The 13,689-nt window shown below is 45.8% G+C and overlaps 1 protein-coding gene across 4 annotated transcripts in view, besides 3 other annotated features; it reads left to right on the forward strand.

Moving 5' to 3' along the window:
• DPYSL5 (dihydropyrimidinase like 5) overlaps positions 1-13,689 on the forward strand; it is a 102,357-nt gene that overhangs the window by 52,879 nt on the left and 35,789 nt on the right. The gene's annotated exons all lie outside the window — the stretch shown is intronic.
• Positions 11,497-12,134: an enhancer, noted in NCBI's record as "NANOG-H3K4me1 hESC enhancer chr2:27135238-27135875 (GRCh37/hg19 assembly coordinates)". NCBI's record gives its function as "activates a minimal SCP1, AML or CMV promoter by ChIP-STARR-seq in naive H9 embryonic stem cells {active_cell/tissue: H9 hESC(naive)}" and the evidence as "EXISTENCE:reporter gene assay evidence [ECO:0000049][PMID:30033119]".
• Positions 11,628-11,922: a silencer, noted in NCBI's record as "tiled region #557; HepG2 Repressive non-DNase unmatched - State 21:Repr, and K562 Repressive non-DNase unmatched - State 21:Repr". NCBI's record gives its function as "represses a minimal TATA promoter and a strong SV40 promoter by Sharpr-MPRA in HepG2 and K562 cells {active_cell/tissue: HepG2 | K562}" and the evidence as "EXISTENCE:reporter gene assay evidence [ECO:0000049][PMID:27701403]".
• Positions 12,323-13,279: an enhancer, noted in NCBI's record as "H3K4me1 hESC enhancer chr2:27136064-27137020 (GRCh37/hg19 assembly coordinates)". NCBI's record gives its function as "activates a minimal SCP1, AML or CMV promoter by ChIP-STARR-seq in primed H9 embryonic stem cells {active_cell/tissue: H9 hESC(primed)}" and the evidence as "EXISTENCE:reporter gene assay evidence [ECO:0000049][PMID:30033119]".

Genomic DNA, 13,689 nt, shown 5'->3' on the forward strand with positions numbered 1-13,689 from the left:
CCAGCCTCGCGGTGGGCAGACTGGCCTCCTTTGTCTCATTTTCCACATTGTCATCTGCTAGGGCCTCATTAGCCAAGAGCGACTGGTTTTCCCCTGAGAACCATCAGCTCTTTACAGCTGATGAAGAGCTCTGCACACGTGTCTTTATGCAAGGTGGTGAGTAACTCTTGATCTTTTCTGCTTCTCATCCACGCAAGCAGCTGCCTCCAAAAAACATCTAAAGGCCCCTGTGTGACGAAAGGCCCCAGATCTCCCATTTCTACAGGTTCAGGCTGCCTCAGGAGCCCCAGTCCATGTCAGGCCCTAGTTGTAGGGAATTTAAGAGACCACAGACCCCAGGCGACCCTGGCAGCTGGTATCACTTAAACTGACACTTTGTTATATCCATGCCCTAAGAAAGATTGTAACTGTCCTTGTGCCCCAGCCCTCACATTAAGCCTCTGTCGTGGTGGCCTCGTTCTACCTGGACTCCATTAGTAGATCCTGCCCAGAGTCCTGAAATTCCTGCCCTTGACCCCTCCACTCCACACCAAGATTTCCCCTTTATGTTGTGGCTCCTGCAGCCGAATGGTGTAGCTTCCCAGTTTCTGAAAATCTCCCGCGGAGAGTAAATGCTCTCCTACTGAAACGCTGATGGGGACGGGTGGATTTAATTATTCACACCGCCTGTGGCACCCATGCAGAGGCCGCGCACCCTGATGGACCGCCGCTGACCTACTTAGTATGCTCTAAGAAAGGTTGATTCACTTTAAGCATCTGGGTTTATAATAGAACAGTAATCCCAAGGAAAATCTCACCCGAACGATTAGCCAAGAAAGAAGGAGAGATCAAGTTGCATCTTTTTGTTCTTGTCAGACAGATAGCGGGGCCCTGAACCCTGCACACAACACCCCACCCCCGCCCCGCCCCACCCCAGCTAGCGTCTGCTTGTTGATTTGGCAGCAGCAGCAGCTGGACTAGGAAAACAAAACAGTTGAAAGCCTGGCCTTTCCGAGAACATCTGGGCCTCCATTGTACTTGACCTCCAGGGATTTCTCTCCAGTACTTCTTTAGCCCACGCCTCGCTGGCCCCAGCCTCTGAAAGAGGCTGTGGCAGGCTCTGCCTGGCTCCCCTGCTCACAGCCTGGTCACTTGACCCTCCTCCCTGCCCCAGGCAGCACCCCCACAACACCCCACCACCTGCAGGCCCCGCCCTCCCCAGGCCCAGAACTAGGGTTTCCAGACGGTGCCAGGACCACCTGCTGGCTAACAATACAGACCTCATTCCAAAAAGGAGGTTATCTCCGTGGGGTGGCAGGGGGAGAGGGAGTGAGGAGGGAGAGTCAGTGACACCAACTGTGTTCAGAAGGACCAGAATTTTAGTCTGGTTGTGGGGTCTCATATTATTATTATTCTGCTTAAGTAGATGTTGCACTTAGTCTCTTTCATATGTATCTAGTATTACAGAGTAAAGAATGTTCTTACAGGCTCTTGAGCTCCACCCACCAATGGCTCTCCAGGGCCAGGTGAAAATATCAGAATCAGGTTTTTAAAACTACAAGCATTCATAAGCAAATCAGGTATGTGGCAAAATAAAAATAAATATAGGTACCAGCCCCTCACTAAGATATTGATAGCGAGGACAGACACGTGCAACTGAACAAGCTTCCTATGTGCCTTTTCTGCCTCCCTATCCCTACAAACATATTTTAAGGACCGCTGTCTAGGCCAGTGATTTTCACCCTTTGGAAGCAAATTACATCAGAACTGTCAGAGACGTGTGAACCAGAGCAGCTCCATCTTAAATAGGGGCTGGGTAAAATGAGGCTAAGACCTATTCGGCTGCATTCCCAGATGGTTAAGGCATTCTAAGTCACAAGATGAGACAGGAGGTCGGCACAGGATACAGGTCATAAAGACCTGGCTGATACAATAGCTTGTGGTAAAGAAGCCGGCCAGGTCCCACCAAAACCAAGAGGGCCACAAGAAGTGACCCCTTGTCATCCTCACTGCTACACTCCCAGCAGTGCCATGACAGTTAACAAATGCCCTGGCAACATCAGGAAGTCACCCTAGATGGTCTAAAAAAAAGGAGGCACGAATAATCCACCCCTTGTTTAGCATATCATCAAGAAATGACTGTAAAAATGGGCAACCAGCAGCCCTGGAGCTGCTCTGTCTATGGAGTAGCCATTCTTTTATTCCTCTACTTTCTTTTTTTTTTTTTTCTTTTTTGAAATGAAGTCTCACACTGTCACCCAGGCTGGAGTGCAATGGCGAGATCTCAGCTCACTGCAACCTCTGTCGCCTGGGTTCACACGATTCTCATGCCTCAGCCTCCTGAGTAGCTGAGATTACAGGTGCACACCACCACATCTGGCTAATTTTTTGTATTTTTAGTAGAGAATGGGGTTTCGCTATGTTGACCAGACTGGTCTCAAACTCCTGACCTCGTGATCCACCCGCTTCGGCCTCCCAAATATTCCTCTACTTTCTTAAGAAACTTGCTTTTGCTTTGCACTGTAAAATGGTCCTGAATTCTTTCTTGCACAAAATCAAAAACCCTCTCTTGGGGTCTGGATAGGGACCCCTTTCCTGGAACAAAACCACTTGGGGAATTTTTGAAAGATCCAGTGTCCAGTCCCCAGCCCAGCCCAGCCCAGTTGACTCTAGGTCTGTGTCCTCCCCATCATCCCTGGTGATTCTGAGGAACTTTGAGGGGTTTGAGTGGCACAGGCTGTACTCCTGTTGCCCATCCGACCCTCACCTTGTGAGCCAGGGCTGACATCCGAATCCCCTGGGTCTGCCTTGGGGAAGCTTGGGCCTGTCTTGTTTTGACCTTGCTGGTCTTTCTTATTTGCACCTTGCTGGTCTTTCTTATTTGCTTCTTTCTATTCACATTGCAACACCCCCTAGTTGGGCTCCCAAACCCCAGCCCGGGGCCCAGAGCTTCTGTGCTTGTTAAGTTCCCTAACCCGGTGTCCTGACCTCCTGTCTGTACCTATGGCAATCGTCAGTGAGAGAGAAGTTGGCAGTAGCAGAGATGCCATCAAACAGAAGTCAGTCCACTTGGGGCTGGCCCTCTTCCGTGAGGGTCCAGAGACTCCCTCTTGTCTGTGCCAGAGGCTATCTCGTCCCAGAGACAGCTTCCCACCAACTCAAAATTAGCATTGGGGTATCTTACAGTCAACCTGTGGGGGAAGCCAAATCCTAATCAAGAGTGCTTGTGCAGCATGGGATCGGCCTAGGGGACAGCCAGTCTCGCAGGCTAGGGTGGCCTGCCACCCCTCACCCCCATGGAGGATCCTGCCCCTCCCTGCCCTCCCACTGCAGAGTTCTGGACCCCATCTGGTAGGGCCCTGAGGTATGTGCCGCTAGGACATAAATAAATTCCTTTTGGTGCCCAGCCTTGCCAACTTCCTCACCAAGGATCCTGTTTGTCCGCTTGGCAGGTTGCTTTTGCTACTTTTGTCTTCAAAATGCGCTCTCGTGGAATGAAGCCTATAAATGTGGCTCACTTCCTTTCTTCTTTTTCTTCAACTCCAGTATTCTGTTTCTGGTAAATTCTGGCCAAAATTTCTTTCCCGTCTTTAAGCTCTGCAATGACACTTCCTGCTCATGGGGATCCAGACTCATATGGTCTTGCTTATTCATTGATATTCTCAAGTTTTCTTATCTCTCCATCCCTGCGAGAAGTTGGGTGACACCTTAGAAATCATCTAGTCCCACCCACCCATTGATAGGAGACCCAGAGAGGATGCATGAACGTGCCAGGCGCTGTGGCTCATGCCACTAATCCCAGCACTTTGGGAGGCCAAGCGGGGAAGATCACTTGAGCCCAGGAGTTTGAGAGCAGCCTGGGCAACATGGCAAAACCCCATCTCTACAAAAAATACAAAAATTAGCCAGGCGTGGTGGTGTACGCTTGTAGTCCCAGCTACTCAGTAGGCTGAGTGGGGAGGATCATCTGAGCCCAGGAAAGTTGAGGCTGCAGTGAGCTGTGATTGCACCACTGCACCCCAGCCTGGGTGACAGAGTGAGACCCTGTCTCAAAACAAAAACAAAAACAGGAGTTTGAGGTTGCATGAGTAGCCCACATCCCAGGGCCAGTTGGACCAGAAGGCAGGTTTCTCAGCCTTTCACCACCCTGTTCAAGGCCTCCTGAGACCTCGGGACTGAACAATCACCCCTTTCAGCCTGTGGCCTCTTGGTTGGCTGTATGCAAATATTTCTCTTGCTATTCTGTGGCCCCAAATTTTGCTGGACCAGATGAGGGTGTCTCAGAATGGATTTGCATCAGGCAGGCAGCTGAGCGAGGTCTCTGCCTGCCCAAGACAGTAGCTTTATGAAATGCTGCTCCTCCCTGCAGGAATAACTGATGTCAGCGCCTTAGAGCTAAACAGTTTTTACTATGTATAAATGGTGTTTGTAAGGATTAGATGAGATGATGCATGACAAATGCTTCACATAGTCCCTGTCACAGAATACATATACAATAAATGCTAGTCCCCAGGCTGGGACTACCTGCTTCCACCCCAGGCTCTTTTCTTCCAGTTCCTTGAGAAAAGATCCACCGACTTTGGCTTCACAATGAAATTGCTCCACTGTGCACCGAGTGCCCATGCTACCTGTGTCCCTGGGCTTGGCCAGCAGGCACCCTGGCAGGCCTTCTCTGGGAATCGGCCCTCACCTCCCAGCTCGTTTTCCATGCTCGTTCTTCCTGCTGCCCTACCACCCCTCCGGCCTAGCTGTGGGGGCTGGGATTGGCATAGCTGGGCTCCTCTCTCCACTTTCTTCTGTGACTCACCTGTAGGCTGTAAAGAGCCCTGTGAAGGCTTCATGAAGTGACTTCCCCTCCCCTGCCACCTGGAGGACATCCCTCTACCCCCTCCATCGGTACTTAGTCTGCTTGTAGAGGGTATATTAGTTTTCTGCTGTGTAACTAATTGCCTCAAGTTCAGCAATTTAAAACACCCATTTATTAACTCACAGTTCTGTAGGTAGAAATCTGGGCACAGCATGACTAGGTCTTCGGCTCAGAGCCTCGCAAGCCGCCATCCAGGTGTCAATGGGCTGCATTCTCATCTGGAGTCCAGGGTTCTCTGCCAAGCTCGTGTAGTTGTGGCAGAATTCCATTTCTTGGAGTTCAAGGACTGAGGTCCCTGTTTCCTTGTTGGCTGTCAGCCTGGGGCGGATCTCAGTGCCTGGAGGCTGCCAGCACCCTTTGCCACCTGCCCCTTCCATCTTCAAAGCCAGCAACAGACTCACCTCAAGTCTCTCTCCTGTTTCAAATCTCTGACTAGAATCTCTTTCACCAAGAAAAAAACCCATATCTTTTTTTTTTTTTTTTGAGACAGAGTCTTGCTCTGTCACCAGGCTGGACTGCAGTGGCACGATCTCAGCTCACTGCAACCTCCACTTCCCAGGTTCAAGAGATTCTCCTGCCTCAGCCTCCTGAGTAGCTGGGAGTACAGGCGCCTGCCACCACGCCCAGCTAATTTTTGTATTCTTAGTAGAGATGAGGTTTCACCATGTTGGCCAGGATGGTCTCTATCTCTTGACCTCGTGATCTGCCTGCCTCGGCCTCCAAAAGGGCTGGGATTACAGGCGTTAGCCACCGTGCCTGGCCAACCCATACCTTTATGAGCTCACCTGATTAGCCCAGACCCACTGAGGATAATCTCCTGCCATGGAATATAACCTAATCATGGGTACGTTTTCCCATCTTATTCACAAGATCCCTCCCACACTCAGTGAGATGCAGTTATACAGGGGTGTGGGCCACTGGGAGTCATCTTAGAATTCTGCCTACCACAGGGAGTCACATGCAAAAACATGGCTATCCTATAGACATTTTGCCCTAGTACATCTCCACTCCACCTATTTTGCTTAAACTACCTAAATCATAATTTATTTATTTATTTTAGAGATAGAATCTGGCCCTGTCACCCAGGCTGGAGCGTAGTGGCATGATCATAGCTCACTGTGGCGTCAACCACCTGGGCTCAAGCCATACTCCCACCTCAGCCTCCTGAGTAGCTGGGACTGCAGGCACATGCCACTGTGCCCAGCTAAGTTTTTTATTTTTATTTTTTGTAGAGACCGGATCTTGCTATGTTGCCCAGGCTGGTCTTGAATTCTTGGCTTCAAGCGATCCTCCTGCCTCAGCCTCCCAAAGTGTTAGGATTACAGGCGTCAGCCATCATGCTCAGCTTACTTAAACCTTTTTAAAACTCCACATTTACATTTTTATTTATTTATTTATTTATTTTATTTTTTTGAGATGGAGTCTTGCTCTGTCACCCAGGCTGGAGTGCAGTGGTGCAATCTTGGCTCACTGCAACCTCCGCCTCCTGGGTTCAAGCAATTCCCCTGTCTCAGCCTCCCAAGTAACTGGGAATACAGGCGCCCGCCACCATGCCCAGCTAATTTTGTATTTTTAGTAGAGACGGAGTTTCTCCATGTTGGTCAGGCTAGTCTCGAACTCCTGACCTCAAGTGATCCATAAGCCTCAGCCTCCCAAAGTGCTGGGATTACAGGCATGAGCTACTGCGCCCAGCCCACATTTACATTTTTAAAATAAAAAATCACCTTGGCCCCCCTTCATCTCACGGCTCTCTCTATGCCTGATGTCGTGTCCCTGCAATGGCTCCCTGTTGTCTAAGACATCAAGTTTGGATGTATGGATCTTCCCCCTGGGCAACCCCTGATCTGACCTTGCCCTCCCATCGACCCATCATGGCCAGCTGCTCCCCACACGCACCCATCCATCAGGAAGATGCCCTCCATGGACACCCCATGCTGCCTGTTGCCATCTCTCTCCACCCCTGCACAGAGCCCCTCCTTCAAGGCGAACAGCCTCTCGTGGCACTCCTCCTCCAGCTAACCCAGCTCCAGGATGTCACTTTCTTCTCGCCAGCTGAAATAACTTGTCATCCTAGGGCTTTCAAATTGTTTCCCATGTTAAGTTTGTTTCTCAACAAGATTGAAGACCCTTTGAGGAGCAGAGACCACGATTTAACTTGTGACTAGCCACAGAGCCCGCGTAGCCCTAACGGTGTAGTCGACATCCAAGAAATGGATGTCAGCATGGAGTGGGAGTTATCAGCACAGACTGGGGCTATGAATGCTGGAGTTCGGATTTCAGCTCCACATTTGCTTGCTATGTCATGTGGGCAAGTTAATCTCTCTGTTCCTCCATTGTCGTATGTCTTTAAAAGTGCTAATTGAGTTATTATTTGTAAAGAACTTAAAAGAATACTTGGTGCTTATTAAGCATTATGTGAATGTTTGTTAAATAAATAAATAGATCATGTTGATCAAAGTCAGATCCCTTAAAAATCCATTTGTACGAGCATACATATAAAACAGTTAAGCATCAAATAGGAACTGAAAGAACTGGATTTCATTCCTAGCGTTCGAATTTCTGTGTGTGTTTTAGATTTCAAACAGAGTCTGATAGTAATAGTGATAAATTCTAGATAATTTTCTGTCTTCTCTCTTTCTCTTAAAGGCAGAAATAGCCAGCAATAAACTCTGCAGGCATCAGGAGCTATTTAAAGGTGTCCTGCTTCAAACCAGCTACTTGCTTAACAAAACCTTGCTGGCAACTTTCATTCTACGTGTACATTAATTGGTAGGCCAAAATGTAGGCCAGGTTGATCCTTCTTAGAACTGATGTGAATGAGGAGATCTATCGTTTCTTATAAATTTGTATCTCTGGTATTGGGAAAAAACCTCCTATGGTGACCAAGCAGCTCCTCAACTTCTAGAATAGTGTTTGCAAAGAATTTATCAATGCAGATTATTGCATTTTTAAAACCTTTGATTCAGAATAAAATAAATACACCCTCTGTGATTGAGGCCAAGTGTCTTGGCAATCTTTCGTGCTTAGTACAAGAAGCTTTGCTTTATGCTGTCATCCACTGGAATTTATAAAAGGAAAAAAGGAAGAAGAAAAATATATACTGTATGTGCACTTCAATGATACATATTGCACATGAATGCCATTTTTCTGTCTTCTTCCATTTTTCTCCCTTCTTCCTCTTTTTCTTTTCTTAAATTAAGCTTGTATCTTTTTTAATATTTCAAGAAATATTTGAATATGGCCTTTTCTCAATTGGAAATATCTGTTCTCCCAAACCTCACAGAGGTTACCTTTGAAGTTGCCATATTTGTGTTGAAAATAAGGGACATATCTTGGTTCATTTACAGGTAGAAATTTGCGTAGGTGCCAGATCATCTCCCCTGGATAGTTTCAGCCTCATTGTTCCCTTGGGTGATTACTGCAGCCAGCCACATTTTTCTCTCCTTCTGATGCTTTTTTGTTTCTTGTTGACTAAAACTGAAGCCCTATAAGGATCTTTAATTAGTAACTAAACGAATATAAAACTGTGGGCCAACTACTGTAAGAACGTTCTCACTGACCATTGTTTCTCACTCATATTGCACACACATCACACACACCATCTCACATTCACACTCGCTCTCACACACACAATTTTAGAGCTGGAAGTACCATTAGAGATTAATAAATACTACCCCTAATTCATAAATAATTTTCCTGTTTAGACTTAAACGATCCACAGTATTCTCAATTAATATTTTAAAATAAAATTAAACAAGGCGGGGCTCAGTGGCTCGGTGGCTCACGCCTGTAATCCCAAAGCTTTGGGAGGCCAAGGCAAGAGGATCACTTGAGGCCAGGAGTTTAAGACCAGCCTAGGCAACATAGTGAAACCCCATCTCTACAAAAAATACAAAAATTAGCCAAGCATGATGGTGTGTACCTATAGACCTAGCTACTAGGGAGGCTGAGGCAGGAGGAGTTTGAGCTCACTTGAGCTCAGAAGTTTGAGGCTGCAGTGAGCTATGATCATGCCACTGCACTCCAGTGACAGAACAAGACCCTGTCTAAAAACAAAAAAAAAATTGGTAAATGTTAGTGAACTCCACTGTTGGGAAGAATATGTCTAGAAAGAGGAGAACATGATTAGGTAACCTGGGAAGCCACCTTTAAAAAAAAAAGGTATAATTAATGTTTGATAAGCTGCACATTTTAAAGTATACAGTTTGATACATTTTGACATATACATACATCAAGAAGCCATCACAATATAATAAACATATCCACCATTCCTGAAAGTTTCTTTGTGTTCCTGTAATTTTCCCCCAGCTCTCACCCCAGGTTACCACTATTTTATGTCACTATAGATTAGTTTGCATTTTCTACTATTTCTATATAAATGGAGCAATGCGATATGCATTCCTTTTTTTGTCTGGTTTCTTTCGCTCAGTAGTATTAAGTTTTTGGCTGTTAAAGATAAAGCTACTGTGAACATTCATATACATATATTTGTGTGGACATAGGCTTTTATTTCCCTTGGGTAATTACCCGGAAGTGGAATGTGTCTGTTTTATGGTAGGTCTACATTTAGCTTTTTAAGAAATTGCCACCTGGTTTCCAAAGTGGTTGTAACAATTTTTTTTTCCCCATCAGTAGTGACTCCATATCATTCCCACCACTTGTTGTGGTCAGTCTTTTTAATTTTAGCCGTTCTAATAGGTGTGTAGTGGTATCTCAGTGTGGTTACAATGTGCATTTCCTTAGTGACTAGTGTTGAATGTCTTTACATGTGCCTATATGCCTTCTATATGTTTTCAGTGAAGTGTCTGCTCACACCTTTTACCCATGTTTTAGTAAGTTGTTGGCTTTTAAAAATCTGAATATAAGAGTTGTTTTCTTTTTTTCTTTCTTCTTCTTCTTTTTTTTTTTTTTTTTTTAGTAGAGACAGGGTTTCACCAGTTGGCCAGGCTGGTCCTGAATGATTGACCTCAGTTGATCTGCCCGCCCCAGCCTCCCAAAGTGCTGGGATTACAGGTGTGAGCCACCACACCCAGCCCAAAAGTTGTTTATATAGTCTAATTACAAGCCATTTATTAGATATATGTTTTGCAAATTTTTCTCCCAGTCTGTTACTTACTTTTTCATTTTCTTAAGTGTTTTTTGAAGAGCAGTAGTTTTTAATTTTGAAGTCCAATTTATCGATTTTTTTATTTCTACTTCATGCTTTTTGTGCTATAATCAAGAAATTTTTTCAGAATCCAAGGTCTCTAAGATTTTCCCCTATGTTTTCTTTTAGAAGTTTGTAATTTTAGCTTTTACAGTTCAGTCTATGATCTGTTTTAAGTTAATTTTTATACATGGTATGTGGTATCTATGTTCAGTTTTTTTTTTTTTTTTTTTGCAAATGGCTATCCAATTGTTCCAGAGCCATTTGTTGAAAAGATTATCCCTTGTCAAAAATCAATTGACCATACATGTGCCAGCCTATTTGTGGACTCTTCTCTTCTTTTGATCTGTTTGTCTATTTTTACACCAATACCACAGTCTCTTAATTATTGTAACTTTACAGTAAGTCTTGAAAGCGGGCAGTGTATGTCTTCCAACTCTGTTCTTTTTCAAAGTTGTATGACTATTTTATGTCCTTGGAAGCAAATAGTTTAGTGCAGGCTGCAAATCAAAAACATAGAGAAACGAATGCATTAACCAAGCACTTGATCAACATTCTCAGTCCTTAACATGGTCCCTTTCTGTTGGCTAAAAGTCAGGAATTTTCTTTAAAATTTTCTCAAGTTATTTGGAGGGAAAAATCTATGACATGATTATAAATATTGATGTAAATATATTGTCTTCGTATCATCCATGTCTAATTTAAAGTAAATTACAATGACATCAAGGGGAAGAGCGCATGCTTCCTCTTGCCTTAGATTTAGAGTTGGTGGAGAAGAGGGGTAGGCTGGGGGCTCCTGAAAGGACTAGATTGGGATTAAACTTTTCCTGGACTGAATCTAACCACTGAACCATCGCCCCTCTCCCTTTCCCTCAGTCAGGTTTCCATTCTTTACAGAATCCTTTGTTACCGTCAGGCCTGGGCTGGAGCTTCTCTTTTCTGGTTTAGTGCCTTGATTCTCACACTGCCAGGCAAAACACACTCCAGGACTTAGGTTTAGGAGGGCACTTTGGCTCTCAATCTCAAAGCCCTAGACTTAGTGGCCATCAAAGAATATATTTTTCCCACCAGGTGGAAAATACAGTGCTCAAAATGGGGTGTGTTCAGCCCCTGAGGGGATCTGGGACCACAGACCCCGAGCTGGTGCGTGGCAGCACATGGTTCTCACAGGACCTGAGGTTAGGCGTCCATCCCCCAACCCCTCTGCAATCGGGATGCCCCTGAGCTGTCAGGTCCAGACCTCAGGCCCACCCATCAGAGCACTTCCACACCCATTCATCACTTATTTTGATCTTTGAAGGCCCCTCGGGCAGATCTTATCATCCTTCCTTTGCAGGCAGAAAGCAGCGTCCCAGAGAGGTGAAATAACTTGCCAAGCTAATAAGGGCAGGGCAGGCCTGTCTGCCGCCCATTGACTCACAGCCCCCGTTCCTGGAAACCACATTTCCAGGGCGGCCTCTCGTCAGCTTTATGGCACTGTCACACCTTAGCTTTGGGACTAAAATGAGGGTCTTGCCACGTTGAGGCAGCTGAAGGATGGAGAAAGCGGAGTTACATGTGTCTTATTGCTCTCTGGCATCCGTGGGTAGCCTGGATGTTTAATAAACATCATCATGGCCTGCTGGCCTGTAAACGTCCCTTTTTGGGGTTAGAAGGGGTTTTGCTAAGGATGTGGGTGACAAAGGGCCTCTCAGTGTGCCTCTGTTTCAGAGCGGCTCTCCGGAAGCTGGCAGCCACATTCCCTATGCCACACAGCTCCTCTGAGGAGCCTCTCCAGTCTCCATGGAAACCGCATGTCGGGAGCCAGCCGGCTCCGTACTGTGGCTTTGTATTAAACACAATGAATTTAAATTGGATGCTCGGCAGTGAAGATAATCATTCTGGATTAGAGAGAAGCCTGGAGCTCCTCATTTCATCATTTTACATGTTGGCACAATTCTCAGTTTTCGCCCTGTAATTCAAGCCCAAGCCGCACTTACCCCTCTGTTTCTAAGCTGCAGTTAGGTCCGATTTCACTTGGGTTTTTCTCCATTCTTTGAGGAATCTTGGAGCTGGGGAGCCCCTCCGTCAGGCCAGGGCTACTCCAGCATTGTGTAAAGGAAATCAGGGGGCTCTAGAGTCTGGCTATGTGATTTTCTCAGGCCCCAGTTTTCTTATCTGTAAAATGAGAGGAGTAACCCCTCCCCTAGAGTTATTTTAAAAAGTATTTATTGTGTAAACATGCAACATAAAATTTACCGTTTTGACTGTTTTTAAGCGTATGGTTCTGTGGCATGAAGTACATTCGCATTGTTGTGCAACCATCACCACTGCCCACCTCCAAAACGTTTTCATCTTCCCCACTGGCTCTCTATTGATGAGGGTGAATGAATAAGAAGTTCCCATTAAACAGTGATTCCCCATTCCTCCCTCCCCTAGTCCCTGGCAATCACCATCTTATTTTCTGTCTCTGAATTTGACTACTCCAGGTCCCTCATATCAATGGAATCATTCTGTATTTGTTGTTTTGTGACTGGATTGTTTCACTTAGCATAAGGTCCTCAAGATTCATTCATGTTGCAGCGGGTGTCAGAATGTCCTTCCTTTTTAAGGCTGAATAATACTCCATTGTATGTAGATAACCACATTTTGCTTCTCCATTCATCTGTCTATGGATACCTAGGTTGCTACCACCTTTTAGCTGCTGTGAATGCTATGAACATGGGTGTACAAATACCTATTTGAGTTCCTGCTTTCCATTACAGAGTCATTTTGAGAATCAAGTAAGATAATAAATATTAACAACATTGCACATAGTAGGCTGTCAGTAAATGTTAATTTCTTTCCTGAAAGTGTGTTAAACCCAGGAGCTAATGCCACAGTGGCCTGATGACTTCAGTGAGAGTGATGTCACTTTTGCTAGCAGGCTGCTTCTGTATCCCTGGGACTCGCTGATCTGCCATGTCTGGGAATTCACCCAATTCATTCCAGGGCTTAAAGGAAATGTCTTCAGCATGGAAATGTGCTTCGTGTCTCACCATAAAAACCATGCATGCTTTTACATTTCTCTCACCAGTGGGTGTTCATGTATTTCTAGTTCCAAAATGTAAAAAAAAAAAAAAAAAAGTGTTAGAGCTGATATATATACTAACTTATCAGTGTTCTATTTTAAGTACACCCTCTGGGAGACCCTGAAGCCAGGGAGGGATCGCCCAGGCTGGGAGGTTCTGTGCCGAGTTACTATTTCAGCAGCAGCATCAGACCGGTTTCCAGTATTACAGAAGAATCTGGGATACGGAGTAAAAATACCTGGATCGCAGCCTTGGCTGGTCTCTCAAAAACTGAGAAGATGACCATGTCTGTTTCACATGGCTGTGAAGATTAGATGGGAGAGTACCTCGCTGCGCTGATGCAGGAGGCAGAAAGGGACCAGGTCTTTGGGCTGGTCTGTACCCTTCCGGTAGATTCTCTCTGTGTCTAGTTTCATCCAAGAGCCTTCTATAAGGGAGCGCCCCCTTGCTGCTTTGAAGCCCTCCAGGGGTGAGAATTGCAGACCTCGGAACCATCTTTCCCTGGGGGGTCCTCTAGTCTTTCCAGGCATTGCTGGGGCAGCCCTGGAGCCAGTGCCCCTTTGTACTTAGGAATTTGTGACAGAAGGGAAGGAGGGGCAGGGGCTTTTGCACAGCCTCCTGACCCATGCATGACCTGGCTGCTCCCT

This window comes from Homo sapiens, chromosome 2 (genome assembly GCF_000001405.40).
Source record: "Homo sapiens chromosome 2, GRCh38.p14 Primary Assembly".
NCBI lineage: Eukaryota > Metazoa > Chordata > Mammalia > Primates > Hominidae > Homo > Homo sapiens.